Here is a 22,624-nt window from a genome sequence, read left to right as displayed (position 1 = left end):
TTTCTTTGGGAAAAGTGGGTTTCTCATCAAACTCTAAGCATTTATTAACTCAGAACTTTACACTGAACTAAAGGTGAAATGAAGCACTCATGCCACCAAACATCCTGGGGCCACATACTCAGAGAGCAAAAATATTAATACAGTCTCTGTAGATAGAGGTAAATAAACAGAACGTAGCTCCCTGGTCCATGGTCCATCTTCATGGCCTCTGGATTGTGTGGGCTGGACCAGCCCAAAGCTCACTGTTTTCTCTGCAGGAGGATGGAGCTTGGTGCATGGCTTCTCTATTTGAATCCATTAGACTATGCACTCTAGCCAACCCTCCACGGAGGGACCTTTCTTGCAAAGTGTTCAGTATAATTTGAACACAGTGACAGCTTCTTGTGGTATCTGGGCAATCGGTGCTGTGTATGCCCAAAGTCACTCTTGAGCTATGCCCAGTTTTTATGAAATAATGTGACAGAAGAATGACAAAATTCTTCTTTTTCATCTCTGTTGGGTTTCATTTGCTGCCATTATTCTTTATCCTGCCATTGGTCTTATAAGAAGAGAAATGGAGTCTCGAAGATAAAATAGCCTTCAAAGCCTCATTCCTACATTCTTACTGTTTTGACTGATGACACTGCTGCTAATAAGATTAGTACTTTCGCTTCTGCTCATTTTCTAGCAGAATTAGTTGCTGCTTTTATACCCTCTGCTGCTAATTTTTCTGGCAAATCTCTGGAGGATGCTAGCCTAATTTTCTGCTACTAGAAGTGCTGTTCTAGTAGGTCGCCTAACATTATTTAATTCCTTTAGGGGATCTTGAAGAATAAAACATATAGGAGTAATTCAGAAACAAACATCAAATACAAATTAGAGACTAATTTTTCAGACAGGAGAATTAATTGCTTCGAACCAGATAATTCGTATTTCCCTTAATCCTTATGCCATAGTGTTGATGTAAGAAGTGTGTAGATAGAGAGCTAGAGATATTATATTATTAATAATATTCTATATGTTATGTTATATTACATTATACATTGTTATGTATTCAAATATAACTAATTACTGTTCCTGACACATTAAAATAAATTTTAAAGCTTCTAAAGCAACAGGACCAGTTTAAGTTTCCTAATTATGTATCTAAGTAATCCTTTGCTCATTTGGATCTTGAAATATGTAGACTACATAGACTAAGGATTTTGCAAGCACCTTTCAGTTTCTTCTCTGCTGATGATTCCCCCTTATTTTATTTTCATTTCTTATACTTCAAAAATGCTGTCAAAAAGAATACAAGAAAAGACAGACGTGATGCATTTTAAATTTTGCCGGACCAGCACTATCAATGGAATGTGAGATGTCTTGGCAAGTATCTGTATTGCCAGGTGTAATGAAAACTGGGAACTGGCAAAGTGAAGGATGTTCTAAATCCATAGTGGGACGCTCCATTTGATGTCCATTTTATCCACACCCCAAGGCAGTATTTTGTGAAAGAAGGGTACTGGTGATGGGGACTCAGAATGAGGCACCAAGAACCATTTCAGTAAGGAAGCGAAATTTAAGATATATCAGGAAATATTCATCAACAATGGAAGGAAACAGGCCCAGATTGGAGATGGGGTCATTCATGGGACTTCTACGCTAAATTTAGACAAATGCCTTTATCTTTCTGGAGGTGACAGCCAATGACAAACACATTGGATTTTGCTCTAGGTTATTAAAGTCTCTGGCAATACCTTGGCTAGATACTGATTAATAAACATTTGTGAGATGGCTTGGTGACTCGCACCTGTAGTCCCAGGAAGGCTGAGGTGGGAGGATCGCTTAAGCCCAAGGTTTGAGGCTGCAGTGAGCTATGATTGTACCGGCCTGGGTGACAAAGTGAGACCCTGTCTCTAAGAAAAACAAGCAAACAGAAAACATTTGGTCTTAAGTAAATACCACATGTTCTCACTTATAAGTGGAAGCTAAACATTGAGTACACATAGACAAAGATGGCAACAATAGACACTGGGGACCACTAGAAGAGGGAGGGAGAGAGAGGGACAAGAGTTGAAAAACTAACTGTTGAGGACTATGTGCAGTACTTGGGTGACGGAATCATTCATGCCCCAAACCTCAGCATTATGCAACATACCCAGGTAACAAACCTGTACATGTACCACCAAATTGAAAATAAAAGTTGAAAAAAATCTGGAAAAATAAAATAAAAAATTAAGATACTAACAAAACAGTAGGTTTTTTTTTTTAAGATAAACATACCCACACACAACTCCACTGGTAAAGCATGGAGCCACAGCTAATTTATACTAAATGATGTGAGGCTTGTGGCAGCAGGGTCACTAACAGGATAAAAGCTCAATAAGGTGACAGGATAACACACAAATCAGCACTACCAGATGCCACAGAATGATTTGTAGACATAATAGGCTAGAATGGAGAGCGCTGTACATTAACTAGCTTATGGACATAATCATTTGAGAAACACTGTAATTGTGGAAAGCAGCAATTAATGTTAGCTAGTTACAAAGTTGTATTTAAATTTGTAGTTATTTAGAATTGATTGAAGGTTACTTAGAAAGATATTGGAAGCTTAAGTGGACATCACAACAAAGTAATATTAGCAACAACATAGACTGCTCTCCTCAATAGAAAGTAAAGAAGGGAAGGCGGATGTAGCAAAACACACTGGGGTCTTGGTTGAGTGTTAGTGTTGCTCACAGAAAAACTTCCAACCAGTATATTTTAAGACTGTTTTTCTGATACTGTTTGACCTAAATCCACATGCTTCAGTCATAACATCATGACTTACTGTGTTTCATAATCAACTATAGCCTAATATATTTGCTGATAATAATCAATACATATAAAACATATATAATGATTTATCTCTTTATCTGAAATTAGAGAGACTTCAAAATTATCCTTAGCCTTATGCCATTACCTTTTACTAAAATTCCATACACTTTCTTGAGTGAGGAGAGAGAGAAGTTGCCTGAAGAATGAGAAGGTTTAAGCAAGGTGAAGGTAGAGCAAGGGGGTGGGGTAGGGGGAAGAAAGAAGGGGAAGGAGCGTTTTCCCAATGTGAGAGTTAATTTTAAGAATTAACTTGACTGGGCCATGAGATGCCTAAATATTTGGATAAACATTATTTTTGGATGTGTCTATGACAATGTTTGTGGAGACATTAACATTTGAATTGGTGAACTGAGTAAAGCAATGACCCTTTCCAATATGGGAAGGCATCATCCAATCAGTTGAAGCCTGAACAGAACAAAAATGCTGAGGAAAGTTGAATTTGCCCTCTGCCTACTTGATCCGGAACATTGATCTGCTCTTGTCCTCAGTGCTCCTGGTTTTCAGGCTTTCAAACTCAGACTGGAATCTACACCATTGTCTCTCTGGCTCTCAGGCCTTCAAACTGCACCACCGGCTTTCCTGGGTCTCCAGCTCATAGATGGCAGATTGTGGGACTTCACAGCCCCCATAATCATACAAGCCAATTCTGCACAATCTTATTTAGTGTGATATATATATGTGTGTATACATACACACACATGCAGATATAGATATGTATTAGATACAGATGTAGATATAGATATATCTCCTATTGTTCTGTTTGTTTCACTGGAGAACCCTGACAAATACACCCAATTTATTTGATTATGGAATATACCCCCATTTTTTCATGCGATGCCTAGTACATCTCCTGAAATTCTGTAGTAGGCATTTGTCATTTTTTTTGACTGACCAGTACCTGACCCCCTTTCCTATTTTGAGAGACCTCACTTTATGAGACATGGTTCAACTCCCCCTAGATAAGTTGAAAAAAATCTCACAGACATTTTTCCATTCTCCTCTGTAGCCAGTGCACAGACAAAAGCTGTAGCCTTGGCTAATCTGATGAGTGTGCCCTAGAATTTGGTTCAGAAGCTGTTGACATGAAGAATCAGAGATCGCCAAGGACTCAATTCTACCACGGTCACACCTAGAGACCAACGCTCAGTGATCTGGTAGTGTCATTCTGACTCCCGGATCAGAAAAGATGCCTGTACCCACTGCAAAAGCAGAGGTGTGGCTCCCAATAGTTCTGAGGCTTATTTTGCAGCGTTTTTTCCTGATTATGTAGTCTCCAAGTCTGGTTCTCAAGATTTCCTGGAAATTTTATAATCTGCCCAATATCCATTAATTAATTTTCTCCTTGAATCAGCCAAAGTTAAAGTTTCTGTTGCTTGCAGTCACAAACCTTGACTGAGACAAATGACCTTAGGAAACTCAGTTCTGTGTAATCTTTTAAAGTACCAACAGGGCCAGGTGCAGTGGCTCATGCCTGTAATAATCCTATCAGTTTGGGAGGCTGAGGTGGGTGGATGGCCTGAGCTCAGGAGTTCCAGACCAGCCTGGGCAACATGGTGAAACCCCGTCTCTAAGAAAAATACAAAAATAAGCTGGGTGTGGTGGCATGCACCTGTAGTCCTAGCTACTTTTGGGGCTGAGGCAGAAGGGTTGCTTGGGCCCAGGAGGTCAAGGCTGCAGTGAGCTGTGTTCACACCACTGCACTCCAGCCTAGGTGACAAAGCAAGACCCTGTCTCAAAAAAAAAAAAAAGTGATAGAATATGAGTTCTCACTGACTACAGAGGAAGATTAAATACAAATAAATGGGGAGAAATTGATTTATTAAATGTTACTGGTAATTGGCACTGTGATATAGGTTTTATTATATACAATTATTATTATTGCAAGTTTAGAGATGGAAAAATCAAGATTCAAAGGGGTTTTGCCCAACGTCAGTAAGCAAAAGTCAGAATTCAAATACAGCTCTAATTTTGCGACCTATACCAAGGAAACAAGGCTAAATAACATTAGCAACTTAAATTAAAAGGTTCAAATTTAATAGAGTTAAACCAGGATAATCAGGACATATGGCTTATGGTGATAATAAGTCTTTGTAGCAAATATGGCACAACGCAAGCCACCGAGTGTGAAAAGAGGAGGCTCCTCAACTGGTTTAGTAATTGCACACAAATGATGAAATGCAGAGTGTACAAGTTCCCAGTCTTCCCTTTGTCCTTCTCCTGTGATTGCCTCACAAACTGAAGATAATTTCTTTAGATTTTATTTTTAATAGACAAATAATAATACTATATGTTATATATTTATGGGGTACAATGGATAGTGACTATAATAAATACTAATGTATATTTCATAATTGCTCAGAGTAGATTTTAAATGTTCTTACCACAAAAAATTGAAGGTAATTAACAGCAGTTAGTGCTCAGAAAGACAGAGGAACGCGTTAAGGAGGTAATTAACCCCTGCACCAAGTCAACCATCTGAGAATTAGCTAGTTTGATTGTCCAGAGCTGTGAAAAGTGCCTGGGGCACCTTGTGGGTGTTAAAAAGGATTGGTTATAAGCTCGTAATTGGCAGATTAGAAATAAAATTATTCATTTGGTAGTTAAAAATTGATTTTTCTTTTAACCATTGCTCTAAATAGAGTATTATTTTCAGATTAAAAAATCTAGACAAAGAACTATAAGTTATTTTATAAATGGAATCTAGTTTGTGTGAAGAGTGCAAAACTAAGGACTGAGTATTGCATCCCTGGTGGCCTCCTGTGTCCAACCTTGAGGAAGACCCGGCTGTGGGCCTCATGTCGTGCTAAACCAACTGGCAGGCCCTGGGTTCTGAGAGTCAGAGCTATACATTAAGGTATACTTAGAGAAGTATCATTTTCTTCTTATCCTTACTACTCCATTTCAATTTCAGCTATTCTTTCTTCCCTCATGCCCCATAGGTAACTAGTTTCTTTAAGGTCAGGGTTATATTTTCTTTTTTGTACAAATTAGCAGACATACATACATTTTCTTATACGAGCATACCTTGGAGATACTGAGGGTCTCGAATAAAGTGAGTCTCACAAATTTTTGGTTCCCTGGTGCATATAAAAGTTATGTTTACAATACACTGTAGTCTATTAAGTGTGCAATAGCATTATGTCTAAAAAAGCAATGTACAAATATTTTGGGGCATGGTGGCTCATGCCTGTAATCCCAGCACTTTAGGAGGCCAAGGATGGAGGATCACTTGAGGCCAGGAGTTCAAGACCAGCCTGGGCAACACAGTGAGACCCCCGTCTCTACAAAAAATTTAAAAGTTAGCCAAGTGTGGGGGCTATAGTCCCAGCTACTTGGGAGGCTGAAGTGGGAGGATCACTTGAGCCCAGGAGGTTGAGGCTGCAGTGAGTCATGATCACACTACTATTCCCACCTGGGTGACAGAGCAAGACTCTGCCTCAAAAAAAAAAAAAAAAAAAAAGAAAGAAAGAAAGAAAAGAAATCAAAAACAAAACAAAAAAACTTTATTGCTAAAAATGCTAACCATCATCTGAGCCTTCAGCAAGTTGTAAACTTTTTGCTGGTGGAGGCTCTTGGCTCGACATTGATAACTACTGACTGACCAGAGTGGTAGTTGCTAAAAGTTGGGGTGGCTGTAGCAATTTCTTAAAATAAGATAACAATGAAGTTTGTCACATGGATTGACTCTTCCTTCCATGAAAGACTTCTCTGTAGCATGCAATGCTGTTTGATAGCATTTTATCCACAGTAGAAGTAGAATTTCTTTCAGAATTGGAGTCAATTCTGCAACCCTTTTGCTGCTTTATTAACTAAATTTGTGTAATATTCTAAATCCTTTGTTGTCATTTCAACAATATTCACAGCAAGAGACACTTCTATCTCAGGCGATCACTTTCTTTGCTTATCCCTTAAGAATCCTGCAATGTTCTAAGGCTTTCCAGTTATACTATTATTTACATTCTTTAATCTATTCCTGTGCATCTACTTGATTTCTCTGGTATAATTGCATTGGCTAATAACATTACTATAGGGTTAAATAGGAACAGAGGTAGTGGGCATTCTTTGCTTGTTCCTGATATTAGTTGAATTGCCACTAGTGTTTCCCCATTACATAATATACTAGATTGAAGACTTAAGGTGTGTACGTGTGTGTGTCCACACACATCAATTTTATCATGTGGGAAAGTATTCCTCAATTCCTGTTTCTGAGTAGCTTTATTGTGAATGTATTTTTATTGAGAATTTTTACTTGAATTTTGTCACAGCCTTTTTAGCATCCATGGAGATAATCATGTGATTTTTCTTTAGAACTATTGATATAGTATAGGATGATATCAATGGATTTACTAATATTGAACAAACTGCATTCCTAGAATAAATGCCACTTGGTTAGGTGTATTTCTCAATGGGATATTGGATTCTGCTTGCTAATATTTATTTAGTATTTTCATATCAATAGTCAAGAATATGTCTGTGGTTTTTTATGTACTGTCCTTCTTTGCCTTTCTTCCATTTCTATTGCTTTCTCTTGACTAGTTTTACCTTCTTTTTACTTTAGTCTCTCATTTAATAATTTCCTGCTTTCCTTCTTTGCCTATTAAATCTTCATGTGTGTCTATTCTTCTTTGAGAATCTTGTAATTTGTTTTCTTTCTTGGATAATTTTGTATTTTTCTTCCATTTCTTTCCTGACTTGTCAACTCTGTTTTCATTTTTTCCCTTGTGAAGTTTTTATCCACTTCTGTTCTTAATTTTTGAGTTTCCAATTCAAGCATTTTTTCCATATTCTCAAATGCTTGAATGAATGTATATGATCCAGTTTGGAATGTTGACTTACAGAATTTTTCTGCTTCAGGGTTTTTTTCAAGGAGTATGGGGGTTGTTACATGGATGATATATGTAGAATTGTCTTCCCTGCTTTCTTGGCAAAGGCTCTGGATGAATCTGTTGATGTATCTTTTCATTTTTATGGTACTATGATCATAAGATTCCTAGTTTAATGGCTTCATTCATTAGCAATATAGTGAGGTTCATATGCTTTAGGGGTCATTTGCTCATTGTTTTAGTGGTGGCAGAAAGACTATAAACCTTCCAATGTTGTGTTTCTCTTTCATTTTGCAAGACCCTAATCCTTACACCAATTGCTTATTTCCCCTTCACCGTCCAGTTGCAAAGGGTGCTTCCCTCTTCCTTTTTGTCTTTTTTTCTCCCATTTAACAATATGTTTTGAACAGTGCTGTTTAAATAACTCCTGACCCTTTTAATCATGCATACTCTGAAGTTCTTTCCCTGCAATCCATGCTATGCTCTGCCAGGATATTGTTAAAATATTTTCATAGGTAAGATCAACCTGGTCTTTTTGATGGTAGTTTTTTATGAACCTTAGGCCCTTTTGCTAGTTTCTCCCTTTTTTTTTTTTTTTTTTTTTTTTTTTACTTTCCTGAAGTTTTTCTCAGTCTGTCTTTACTCTCTAAAGAGCCTTGTGCAATACAGGGATCAAGCCAGAATATGAGATCTTACACTGGAATGTAGTGACTTTCTCTGTTTAGTCACAGTCATTTTATTTACTTTATTTTTGAGACAGAGTCTTACTCTGTCATCCAGGCTGGAGTGCAGTGGGACAATCTCGGCTCACTGCAACCTCCCTCCCGAGTTCAAGCAATTCTTGTACCTCATCCTCCCAGTAACTGGGATTACAGGTAGGTACCACCATGCCTGGCTAATTTTGTTGTATTTTTAGTAGAGACAGGGTTTCACCATGTTGGCCAGGCTGGTATCAAACTCCTGGCCTCAAGTGATCCACCTGCCTCAGCCTCCCAAAGTGCTGGGATTACAGGTGTGAGCCACTGTGCCCAGCCTAGTCACGGTCATTTTAATATTTTAGCATTCTCTGTCTTCAAGTTATGCCGAAGGCATGGTTTCGTCTAGATTTACATACCATTTTTTGTTGGTTTTAATTCTTTAGGGAGGAAATACAGGGAGGCATATAGCTAAATGGTGCAGCTGTTATGCCCTTAGCTATCCAGAAGTCCCAATTATGGTTGTTTTAAAGTTCTTGTCTGTTAACTTCAATTATGCAGATCATCTATTTGCTTGTTTTGCTTTTTTTTCCTCTCTTGATTATTGGTCATATGACATTGCTGCTTCACATGTGTAGTGACTCTTATTTGTAGGTAGAATGTTATGTATAAAGGACCTGTGGAGGTTTCAGATATTATTATATTCCACGCAAAAATAATTTATCTTCTTGCTGTAAACTGAATTATGTTCTCCTAAATTCATTTGTTAAGGCCTTAACCCCCAATATGACTATATTTGGAGACGAGGCCTCTAAGGAAGTAATCAAGGTTAAATTAGGTCATAAGGGTGGGACTTTGATCTCATAGGATTGGTGGCCTTATAAGAAGAGGAAGAGAGAGAAGTCATCTCTCTCTCTCTCTCTCTCTCTCTCTCTCTCTCTCCTGCCCCCCGCCCCCCACCGCCCCCATGAGCATGCAGCCCAGAAAGAGGAAAGGCCATGTGCTGGTGTAATGAGAAGGTAGCAGTCTACAAGCCAGGAAAAGGGGCCTCCCCAGAAACCCAACTAACCAGAATGCTGATCGTGGACTTCTCAGTCTTCAAAACTGTGAGAAGTAAATTTTCTGTTATGTCAGCCACCCGGTCTGCACTATTTTGTTATGGCAGCTCAAGCAGACTAATACATCTCTGTTTGGCACATAAAAGGGTCCAATCACTTCAATCCAATCGTAAATTGAACAGAGATAAAGTTTTAGTAAAAGTCAGTCTATTTCTGATTTAATCATGTTCCTGAGCCATGGCTATCCCAGGCTCTTCATTGCAAGCATGGTGGTTCTTTGGCTCTTCCTCATATTGAAAGGCTGTAGGAGATACATTTCTGCCATTTGGAAGTTTTCAGCTTACTTTTTGGCCTCCTCCCCCATGCAACTTCAAGATCTGATAAATGTCTTCAGAGGGAGATTGGACATGTGTTTGAAGCAGGCCTCTTCCTGAAGAGTCTTTGTTTTCTAAGCTCTATGAGACTGTGGGAGATTTCAGTACAATGGGGAGAAACAAGCATGCATTTGAGGCTCCTCAAGTTTCCAGTGCTCCACAGGATTATTAAAAGCTTCACTGGTTTCTCTTTTTGCAGCAGAGTCCCTCTACCTGGGTCAAGCCCAAACCATCAGTGTACTCCCAGAACCAACAAAATGTCCTGAGAGAAAAATAGCCAGCAATCATCAGATCACCTCGAAATTATTCTCTCTTTCTCTCTCTGGAATTTTAGTTCACTTAGTCTTCGTTGCTTTCACAGCTCTCAGGTGCTTTTGAAAATGACTTTTTTAATATTTTCCATTTGTTCAGGTAAGAGTATTGGCCTATCACATCCTGCCCCAAAGCAGAAGTCTTTCTGTGTATAATTTTTGATCTTTACAATTCAGGTCTTCCAAAAGTATGTAACATAACTAATACATGTTTGTTGAAATGAATGAATAAATAAATTATTAATGCTAATTTTGCCTGTTTTGCAGTCTTAACTAGGCCAAGTTTTGCCACTCTGTTATGGAAGCGAAGTAGACAGTGTTATTATGGTGATACAACAAAAGTGCTACAGCCAAGATTCAGGAATTTGTGGCAAAGGGAATCTTTTTGAAGTATGAACCAATGAGACTCAATCTAGAGTATTGAACTCTCAACCTTAATTTTCACCTGTTTTTGCTTTTTAGCTTTTCCTTTACCACCCCAAGATGGGAAACAGTGGGTGGGATATTTGCTTACTAGCTGCTGACCATCTCTGTTCCCCACTGAACACTATGAGGGTAAGGACTTTGTCTTGCCTGCTATTTTATCCTCAGTATCTGTACAGTGCCTCACCCATAATAGTCACTCAAATCATTTCAATGAATGAATGAATATCACAGTCTGGCTTGTTAGCAGATTAACATAATTAAATGCAGAAAATGGAAGTTGAACAAGAGTTTAGTAGAAGTTACTGACAATAATTAGCGCTTTTAGAAACTTGAGGGCCAGGCGTGATGGCTCATGCCTGTAATCCCAGCACTTTGGGAGGCCGAGGAGGGCGAATCACTTGAGGTCAGGAATTGAAGACCAGCTTGGCCAACAGGATGAAACACCATCTCTACTAAAAATACAAAAATTAACTGGGTGTGGTGGCACATGCCTGTAATCCCAGCTACTCAGGAGGCTGAGGCAGGAGAATCGCTTGAACCCAGGAGGGGGAGGTTGCAGTGAGCCGAGACTGCACCAGTGCACTGCAGCCTGGGTGACAGAGCAAGACTCAGCCTCAAAATAAATAAATAAATAAATAAATAAAACTTGAGAAGCACTTCAGCAATAACTTCAATCTTAAAAAAAAAACAGAAGTTCAGGACTATACTCTATTTTAAAATAAAGTAATTATTATTTATGAGATTGCAAATAATCCTTTAAACAAAATGAAATCCTGTTCATCAAAGTAAGAAGAATATCACAGAATAAACTGCAAGCAAAACTTCAAAATATAGATAAACTTGGAAATATTTTCAGCCTCCAGTGCTAACTATAGTTATTGGCCATTTGGAACCTGGCATAGGCTCTTTTTCAATAGTTATATTTACACATACTAATGCCAGTACTATCATACAAACTAAACTAATGGCAGATGTTATTTTGATCAAACTAGAGTTAACCTTGTACATTATTTATTGCTTGATTTTTCTCCCCTGGAGAACATTTTTTGACAAGATCTGTAGGTAAAAGCAGCATAATTTTTTTTAAAATTTCAAGGCTATGTGAAATGATTCTTATTAAAAGTCTGAAGAGAAAAATCAATTTCAGGTGAAATAATAATAATAAATATTATTTATATGTGAATATGTGAACATGTACATTTTATTTACATGTTATTGAAAATGTTCCACAGGAAGATAATTGGCCATAGGGTATGATTAATGTTAAGTAATCAAAAAAGTCCAATCTCTTACAATTTAATTTCCTAAATCAACCATAAATGAACCAGTCATGAGTGGACCACAGAGTATGGGGTAAAACCTATGTGCTTTGGAAAAAATCAGTTCTGAATTAGAATGTTTGCCTTATGTTGTGAGTAATGTAACTAATTTCTGAACCTCATTGTTTTCATTTGTAACATGGGAAGTATTGAGAGAGCTCAGACGGGCCACCTGGGCCGGGCGTGGTAGCTCACGCCTGTAATCCCAGCACTTTGGGAGGCTGAGGTGGGCAGATCATCAGGTCAGGAGTTCGAGACCAGCCTGACCAAGACGGTGAAACCCTATCTTTACTAAAAATACAAAAAAATTAGCTGGGCATGGTGGCACACGCTTGTAACTCCAGCAACTCAGGAGGCTGAGGCAGGAGAATTGCTGAACCCAGGAGGCAGAGGTTTCAGTGAGCCGAGATTGCGCCACTGTACTCCAGCCTGGGCAACAGAGCAAGACTCTGTCAAAAAAAAAAAAAAAAAAAAAAAAAGAAGGGCCACCTGTAGTTCAGGAGGATGATTAAAGTTAACTAATAGAAATAGCAGAAGTTGATCTACTTAAAGAGAGGAAGTGTGTCGAGCAAGCAGAACACAGAGAGATAAAGACAAAACAAGGAGAGGATGTAGGCAGAACTATGCACGATTTTCATTTTTTAAACTACGAGACAGATAGAAATAAAAATCTTGGTCAAAAGACTGTACAGGTTGCCCTGACATTAGGATCTTTGCTTTAACATAATTACATTACAAAGAAAACAATTCCTTCTAACTGAATTAGCTTTGCTTTAAAAATTATCTGCGAGGGAATTTGAAAGGGGATTTCAGCACAGACAAAAATTTGTGTCAGAAGGAAGAATACAATTTCTACAGGAAAGTGTTATCTCATGCCTGAGCATAGGAGAACATCTGGTACTGATAACCTACTGCTTCTTGGGGCTGACTTTTGGGGAGTCAGAGGTAAGTCATAAATCAAGTAGATGAACATCTACATTGTGCCACCTAGTCTAATCAGAACTTTGCTTGGAAGGAAACCCCAGAAATCGGGAGGACTGGGAAATGGCAAGTGCTCACTGTCCTGCACCTGGCTGTCGAGGTTTGGAACATCCAGCACTGTACAGAGGGCTCCTCCAGCCTTTAAAACTGCCTTAGAGGATGGGGCCTGCCTAGTGGGGAGAGGAGAATGGGCCCACAAGGATTACAGTGCCAACCTCACAACGTGTTGTCAGAACTAATTAAGGGAATTTGTTATAAAAGTACTTAGCACACTAGTGCATAGCATGTGTTGGCTTTCTTGCCACTTGTCTTTTAGCATTGCCTTGGTTACACGTGTACTTTCCTATAAAGTATCAACGGTATTTTCATGTTTTATTTTAAACTTTAGCATATTCATCAAGGCAATGTTAGATATATATGTTTATGGGTTACCCAAACCAGATAAGCCAGCATATTTGCCTCATAAACTAGTTTCAAATTTGAACTGCCTACCCAAAATTCATCCTATAATGTGGGGGGTCTGAGAATTTTCCAATGAAAGCGTTGAAGATATCACTGGGATTTTTAAAGTAAAGAACGCATTGTAATAATTGACATACTCTTCTCTGCCACTAGATACTAAATGGTGAGAATGTGTCTCACTAAGCTGTGTGTACCAAGTCTGTAGTTCCTCAGAAATTCTGTCATTGCTATTGTTGGAGGAAGGAAGGAAGGAAGGAAGGAAGCAAGGAAGGAAGGAAGGAAAAAGAAAAGAAAAGAAAGGAACAAAGAGAAAAAGAAAAGCTAATTGAGAAACTATTTCTACCATGGGGATTTCAGATGCAAGTCTCTAAAGACCTGTACTTTGAGACACCATTCCTCCCTTTTCAGTTCTACACATTAAGCAAACCATATAAAACTAGCTGCTCATGGAATTTGACTGAAACCTAACATATTTTTTTCAGAGAAATTATCAGGATTAAAGACATTATGAGGAAGAGAATATTGTGGTGAAATCAGTGTAGCAGATTTATTGGGTATATTTTAAATGGCTGTGATCTTTAAAGTAAAATATTGCATTTTATTATAGTAACTGAAAATGCCATTAACTTTGTAAGCATTTAACTGTTTCTGGCCTCAGAATTTCATAATATATTTTACTTTTCATTAGGAAATAAAATGATAAATCTTTCTAGGCTATGTTTTCCAAAAACATTTCAGTTGCTCACTAAACATCAAGAAAAGGGGCAAGGCTGAGTCTTGTGGATTGCACATCAATCTATGGATCTAAGGATCCATGGGTCTGAATGGTCACTGTCCCAAATAATATGTAATTTTTCCAACAAAGAGATACAACAGCTGTCCCTAATAATCTATAATTTGTAAACAAAGAGAAACAAAATCACTGGGAAGAAAGGTTGATTGCTGTTTTCCTTAGACTTCTTAGTAGCAACTGACAGAAACACACTGAACTGGTTGAAAGAGAGAGAGAGAAGGTGAACAAGAAAAGGAATTTATTAACTTAAGTATCTAAGTAATACAGAGATAGCTCTCACTTCAGGCATGGCAGGGCCCAGAGTTTCAAATGATGATATTAAGAATTGAGAATCAGTTATCTTCATTTCTTAACTCAGATTTTCTCTGTATTGGCTTCACTCTCAGACAGGTTCTTTCTATGTTGTGGCCCTTATAACCTCTAGACTTCTCCCAGTGGCAAATTGAGAAAAAAAAAAAAAAAGAACAAGAAAGAAAAGAAAGGAAGGAAGGAAGGAAAAAGAAAATAGAAAAGAAAGAAGAAAGCAAGCAAGCAAGAAAGCAAGCAAGCAAAAAAGCAAGAAAGAAAAGCTTTTTTTTTTTTTTTTTTTTTTTTTTTTTTGAGATGGAGTTTTGCTCTTGTTGCCCAGCCTGGAGTGCAATGGTGCAATCTCAGCTTACTGGCTTACTGCAACCTCCGCCTCCCGGGTTCAAGCAATTCTCCTGCCTCAGCCTCCTGAGAAGCTGAGATTACAGGTTCACGCCACCAAGCCTAGACAATTTTTGTATTTTTAGTAGAGACAGGTTTTCATCACATTGGCCAGGCTGGTCTCAAACTCCTGACCTCAGGTGATCCTCCCGCCTCAGCCTCCCAAAGTGCTGGGATTACATCATGCCCGGGCTCTTTTTTCTTTATGATCCCTGTAACATAGGGATCATAACTGAGTCCCAAAATTGAGTTTCACTGATCTAGCTGCACTAATGTGTCCAATGACATCCAGGATGTGGAAGCCTTTTTTTGGTCAGTTCTAGGCCATATCATACATTACCCCAGAGGTGAGAAGGTAGAGGAGAGGGATGAAGTACTACCCAAACCTGATGTTATTTGTTTATAATTACAGAAACTATGTGTGTGTTTCTTCCAGCCCAGGCCTGGGCTCTCCACCATTCATGTTTAAATTCTATTTTTGGGTAAATCACTCCTAATAATCAGTCAATCAGCTTGTATTGTTATGCCAGTGATACATACCTAGCTTTATTGCTTTCTCAAACTTATCACAATTTAGTTTGCTGTATATTAAAATTTGGCTCTGCAGGGAACTCCATGATAATTTCAGCTGTTGCAGGAAAGGAAAATACATGGTAAAGATAACATCACTGGGAAGATGTGTGTTAGTTTGCTTTGAGGAATTATCTGATTTTTCCATGCATGGGGCTTAATTAGATTTAAAGTTTTCTTCTGCTAAAAAGCCACAGCTATAGAAAACTTTGGGGCATAGCATATGCTTTTCTGTTATTAACAGATAAAGGGAACAAAATGATATCATATTTAGTGAATTCATCCTTCTATGAACATACTTCATGGTTCATGACACAGATGTCAAGGGTCAGTAAAGTGATCACATCAGCAATGCTGCCCCCAGGAGCTTCTCAAGGAAGGACATTAGCACTGTGTAAAATGGCAATGACAGGAACATGGATTTGGAACTATAAGACCGGATTTGTGTCTTAGTTCAACACTCACTATTTGCAAGGCCCTGAACAATTCACTTAACCATTACGTGAACCTCCATTTCTTTATCTATAAAGTAAGAATAACAACATCTGTGATCTCTTGAGAAAAAAAAAGTTTTTAATGTGAAACAATACTCCCCTGAGACTTACCAAACTCAATTTTAATTGATTTATGCCAAAAGATAAAATAAATTAATTAGGGCATGCTATTAGAAATACTGGCAAGGGAATATATTTGATACAACTAACAATGATTGGGTATGGAACGAAAGATTATCTTAAAATCTGAAACAAAATAAATTTTAAATTCTAAAATTTTTTATTTAAAAAACTACCTAGGTCATATGGATTAAAATTGTATACTTTTACAAAATGTTTTTCATATCCAGAACATATAATCTTCTATAGGAAAATACAGTACCACCTGTACTTTGGACAATGACAACCATGTGTTCATTTTACACAGGGAATTCTGCCTTGGTTTGAGCCATGTCTCTGCACATAGGAGAAACTGCTTATTTACAATCATTGCCCACCTGCTACAGCAGCAGGAAGGGTGACTCTGTGTATTTGTTATTCTTATTTCTCTGGGTTTTCACTCTTCCTTGTTTTCCATGCACCCATTTTTATATCCTGGGAACTAGGCATTGCCAGGAAGGGCAAATAGTTGTGGGATGGAGTTAAAAGGGGCTTCATTGAGGCAGAATAATTCTAGTATAAGCAATTAGCAAAAATTGTTGGACATAATCCTTGCCCCAAAGGACCTCTTACAAACTACTTAGAGAAAATATATAGATACAAATAATGGAAAATAATACAATACTGGATTGCCAAGTATAAATAAAATATGTAAAAGTATCTCTACTATGTAGAAAAAACAACAGGGGTGCTATGTGTGGTTAACAAAGATTATCGCTCTGTGTTGAATTTATTTTTCCTGGAAGCTCAAATTTTAGATTAAATTTTTATATTCATTTGTAGCATTTAAATGTGAGAATGAAATGAACATATTTTAAGAAAGAAAAGGTTTTATATTAAAAAAAGAATAACAACATCTGTCCCACCCAACAGGGTAGGTATGAGGTTCAAATGAAATAAAGCTTATTCATCCCCTTGTTCCTCCTGTAAGTGAAATGCCTCATAGGCTGTGTCCTATTGATCTTTGTGAGTTTCAGTGTCTAACCCTGTGCCTGGCAGTCAAAGTATGATCAACAAATCTTTGTTGGATGAACAGATAAATAAAAAAAAATGATCAAACAGATGAATGAATGAATGAATGATAGCCATGACATAGAAGGAAATAACAAATATTGTTTAGCACTGGCTCAGGGTGGTTCTGAGGTTAAGCAATATTTTAACAATATTTCAATTCCTGAATTTGACTCTGCACATTTTTCCTGGGCTTTCCTTAGTAGAAAAGAAGCTAAAGTTCAAGATTTTGAAAGAATAGTGACTGCCTTAGCAAAGGAACAGCCAAGAAAATCACTGCTCTTTTATCTCAAAGAGAAACATTAATTAGGTAAGACATGGGCAAGAAGTAAAATGGAAAACTTCTAAGAGTGAATTGTATTATAGTTAACACTTAGTAATTTCTCTAAATTTTAGAGCATGACTATCTTGTTGCAGGGGTTTTTGAATTATTTGTCGTATTTCTGAAGGAAGCCTTTGAAATCCGTGGAGATGACTTTTTACATTTTTATAAAAGTTCTTTCCACTCCCATCTAGATTCTCTACGTGAGCTCGTGTATGGAACATGTGCGATCAGTAGTCTGGGAAAATTGGAATGGATTTAGGTAAATCTGAGATGGCCGTGCTTATTGATATTAACATTGACGTTGACTGGGCAGTCTCCACCATGGAAAAATATTCCATATGGGTAATTGTGTGATTTCCAGAATTACATACCCTGAACTGTTAATTTCATAATTGTTAAGTTTTTCTTTGTTGAATCGTTCCCAATGAGGGACATAGCGCTCTGATTACTCTTTTTAAATTAGGGTAAGCATAGATTCCAATATCTATACAAAATTGTGTATGTGTGTTTTGTGAATGGGGAAGTAAATGCTGCTGGTGGGGAGTGAGGCAGAAAGCTTTTGAAACACATACTAAAAGATATTATACTCTTATTCTTGGTTCCTCTAATTAGACACATTTGTATACTATTACTATACGGTATTATGGCTATAACTACATAGAATACATAATAGAAACATGCTCACATGTTTGTCCAGCCACAAGCACAAGGGCAAAACAAATTTCCAGCAAAATCCTCTACAATTTATGTTAAGGAAGAGGAACACATGGAAACAGGAAAAGATCATTAACTATGACCACAATTGTATTTTCTCAGAATACCCTCTAAGAAGGAAATGATTCTTAGCTCCACACCCACAATTTAGGATGTGGAAGTGGAAGGGAGAATCTTGGTTTTACACCTCCTGAAGATAACTCTGTTTCACTTTCCCAGCCCAGAGTATAGGGAAGAATCAAGTTGTCGTGACAATTTCTAGACTGGAGCAAAGTCAATGTCTATGCAGGGTGGTGGGGATGCAGGTCTTCATCACTCACTCCCATTTATAGGCACAATCACTTGCCCTATGTGTTTGTGGGAGGAGTGAACAAATAAACTCATTACAGAAATAAATTTCACAATCCAATGAAAATGGGCAAAGATGAACTAACAGTTCACACACACACGCACACAAACACACACACACACACACAAAGTGAATGGCTTCTAAACACATGAAAATTAACTAGATGTCCTTAATAAAGAAAAATATGAGCAGGGTGACTAAGACCCAAACATGTAATGGTTCACTGGATGGAAGAGAGTGAACACAAGTAAGTACTATCGTGATGGGGGTGGAAATTGACAAACTCGTTGAAAATCTATTTGGAAATATATACCAAAATGTAAAGTGAATATATGAAAATATATAATGCACACACATCTCTAGGGCTTTTCTTATAGGTAAAATCACCCTAATGTGCAAAACCATATTTACAATGCTATTTATCATAGCACTGAATTGTTTGTAAAAATAAAAGATTATGGACAATTTAGACATCTGACAATAGTAAAACAGTTCAATAAACTAAAAGTTTATACAATAGAATATTATTATATAGTTACCATATAGAGGGAGTCTATTAGTCAGCTCAGGCTGCTATAACAAAGTATCATAGACTGGGTGGCTTCAACTACAGACATTTATTTCTCACAGTTCTGGAGGCTGGGAAGTCCAACATTAGAATGCCAGTATACTTGGTTCTAGTGAAGGCTCTCTTCTTGGCTTACAGATGGCTGCCTTCTTGCTCTATCTTCACTTGGTGAAGAGAGAAAACTCTGGTGTCTCTTTCTAATAATGGGGGACTTCACTCTCATGCCCTCATCTAAACCTAATTACCATCCAAAGGCCCCACCTCCTAATACTATCATAATGGGGGTCAGGGCTTCAACATATGAATGGCGGAGAATATAAACATTCAGTTCATATTAGAGAGGTTCTGATATGGACTGATTTCCAAGATATTTTGTGAAAAAAAAAAAAATCAGATGCAGGACAATGTGCATGTATTCTGTTACCTTCCCATCATTCACTGTCTTCCAGCCAAGCTGGCCTGTCTCAGATATGCCAAGGTCATTGCTATCTCTTCTGTCTGGAATGTCTTTCTGATTTTCATATACCTGGCTTCTGCTCATATCTCAGGTCTCAATACAGATTCCACCACTTTAAAGAGGCCTTCTAGCCACTAGCAACTTTATCTTACTGAAAGAATCAGCCCATTTTGCTAGAAACTGTGTCTGCCGCTAACGTTTGTGAAGCAGAGTTCATAATAGCTAGAGTGCACCACCCTCATCATTTGCATTGAGCCACACTCTGATTTTTTTATAGGCACTACTTGAAAATCTTTTTTTTAATTATACTTTAAGTTCTAGGATACATCTGCACAACATGCAGGTTTGTTACATATGTATACATGCACCACGTTGGTGTGCTGCACCCATTAACTCGTCATTTACATTAGGTATATCTCCTAATGCTATCCCTCCCCCCTCCCCCCACCCCATGACAGACCCCAGTGTGTGATGTTCCCCTTCCTGTGTCCAAGTGTTCTCATTGTTCAATTCCCACCTGTGAGTGAGAACATGTGGTGTTGTTTTGGCTGAGTGTGGTGGCTCACACCTGAAATCCCAGTGCTTTGGGAGGATCACTTGGGGCCAGGAGTTTGAGATCCTGTCTCTACAAAGAATAAAAAAAAAGCCAGATGTGGTGGTGGGCACCTGTAGCCCCAGCTACTTGGGAGGCTGGGGCAGGAGGCTCAGTTGAGCCCAGGAATTCAAGGTTACATCAAGCTATGATTCCAACACTGCACTCCAACCTGGGCCATGGAGTAAGACCCTGTCTCTAAAAAAATAAATAAATAAAACAAAAAAATAGTTTGACATGTTTATTACTAACCCTTCCCTCCAACACACTCCAACTTCCTAGGATCTAAGGTCCATTAGGTCAGGAATATTGTCATGTTCATCCCCACGCCTCCAACGTCTAGACTTGTGCCAAATACAGAGTAGGCTCTCAGTTAATGTTGAATAAATGAACGAATATGTGAATAAAGAATATATGCCTACATCTATATACACAAAAAACATTTCCAGAAAGTTATCAAGAATGTTATGATGGTACTTTCAGGGAAGGAACAGAAAGGAAACTCATGTTGTGTTTTCAGCATGAGAGAGAAACTAGCTTAAACACCATGCCTGAGTTAGGTCTGCTCCATAGGTAAAGAGGTTTGACTTTGCCCTTGCAGGGCCATCAGTATAATGCCTCTATTTTACATTCATACAAGAATTGCATACCTATCATGAAAGCAGTTTTCCCCTCACTTTGAAAATTATGGAATAACAGAAGCTGTTCCTCAGCTCCAAGCCCACCATCTCTATACACTGCTCTACTATGCAGGGCTAGAACTACTCAAACTACATGTCTCAAGCTCCCTTGCCAGGTGAGTTCCTGTTAGCATCCACCAATGGGAATCACCAGAAAATATTGGGAGCCAGAAGGAGGAGAGGAGGGTCTTACATCCTATTTTCTATTTCCTGTCAGGAATCTTCAGTAGCAGCCATCAGTTGGCTGCAACTTCCAATTCTTCTGGTCCTCCCATTTTCATCAAGCCACCTAGGAGCAGCCAACCCAAGACCTCTGGCAGCCTCAGTGTCATCCACACTGCATTCCCTTACCAACCAAGCTATCCTTCCTGAGCCCAGGGAGAACTCTCTAGCCCACATCCCTCCTCAGACAGTCAGGCACCACTTTCACAGGGTTTTCTCCCAGAGGCCCAAGCATTAGTTCTTTAGGTCCCCTCCTCCCAGCTCATAGGTTCTGGTTACAGGGCCCCTTCCCTGTGTTCCCCAGTCTTGAAGATGGGAGTTGCTTCTTGTTGTCATTAATCTCAGTGTTAACTCAGTATCTTCCTTTTGCTCCTTCAGCCTTTCAGCATATGTATAACAAATTCCCCATACTTATAACTAATAAGGTCTCTGGTTTTCTACTTGAAATATTATCAATGCAATATTTGTTTGGGGCATTCTCTTGATCTACATTCTTTCCCTGGGTAATCTTTACCTAGTCCCATTTATATGCTCAAGATGCATATCCAACTCTTATTTAATGATTTATATATTAAAGTCTAATAGCTCAGATTTATCTTGTCAAAACATGAGCTCCTAGGCAGGCATGGTGGCTTGTGCCTGAAATCTCAGCTACTGGAAAGGCTGAGGTGGGAGGATTGTTTAAGGCTGGGAGTTTGAGGCAGCAGAGAGCTATGATCATGCCACTGCACTCCAGCTTGTGCAAAAAAGTGAGATCTGTCTTTAAAAAAACAAAAAACAAGAGCTCCTGATACACCAACCTCCCACCTATTCCTCCACCAGTATTCTCCATCTCAGTAAGTGGTGCCTCTATCCATTTATTTCTTCAATTCAAAATCCTAAAATCCTAGAAGTCATTCTTGCTTCCTATCCTTCCCTGATTATTCATATTCAGGGCATCAGTATGTCATAGTTACATCTCCAGAACTACACATCTATTTATTTCTCTCCATCTCATCTGTCATTATCCTATTCCATCCCTATCACTCACATTGACTACTATGGTTGTCTTTCAACTCTTGCCTTCCTAAGGCTGTTTCCTACCTCATAGCCATAATAATACTTTAAAAGTATAAATCACAATGAAAGTTAAATCCAAACTTCTTACAATGGCTCTATAGGATCTGCTTCCTGCAAACACCTCTAACTTCATCTCCTACTACAGTCTTCTAGCATTAACTGTGCTCTGGACACAGACGCCTCCCACCTTGAATTTGTCTTTTCCTCTGTTGGTTGTCCAGCTCTACGGGGTAGGCATGTTGTTATTTACTATTGTAGCTCCAGCATCTCCAGCACCTTGAATAGTCTCTATTCCCTAAAAGATGCTCAACAAGTATTTATTGACCGAATTAATAAATAAATGCTTTTAATATCCTCTTGTTTGTGTTTAAAGTACCTCAGCATACAAGACCTGGAAATATATGAAACTTTCTACAGCTTTGGAATGAAAATCTACAGGGTTACATTTGTCTCCTATTTGCTTTCCTTTCCTTTCACATTTCCTAGGAAGTTTCTTGAAGAAAAGGAGCTTACAGAATCAAGACTTGATGACACAGCTGATATTTCCTTTGGATAAATAATACATGAATCAAAGAGGCCAAAGAATCTACAAGATTTTTACAATAGTGAGATTCATGGCCTTTAAAAATATGTAGAACAAGATGAAACAAGTGT

General features: G+C 38.3%; 1 long non-coding RNA gene across 2 annotated transcripts in view, besides 1 other annotated feature; it reads right to left on the bottom strand.

Moving 5' to 3' along the window:
• The window catches only part of LOC105379117 (uncharacterized), a 122,892-nt gene that overhangs the window by 49,387 nt on the left and 50,881 nt on the right, over positions 1–22,624 (bottom strand). The gene's annotated exons all lie outside the window — the stretch shown is intronic.
• Positions 12,607–12,901: a silencer, noted in NCBI's record as "tiled region #13215; HepG2 Repressive non-DNase unmatched - State 24:Quies". NCBI's record gives its function as "represses a minimal TATA promoter and a strong SV40 promoter by Sharpr-MPRA in HepG2 cells {active_cell/tissue: HepG2}" and the evidence as "EXISTENCE:reporter gene assay evidence [ECO:0000049][PMID:27701403]".

The sequence above is a fragment of the Homo sapiens genome, chromosome 5, assembly GCF_000001405.40.
Source record: "Homo sapiens chromosome 5, GRCh38.p14 Primary Assembly".
Classification (NCBI taxonomy): domain Eukaryota; kingdom Metazoa; phylum Chordata; class Mammalia; order Primates; family Hominidae; genus Homo; species Homo sapiens.
This window is presented reverse-complemented; position numbering and strand designations above follow the sequence as displayed.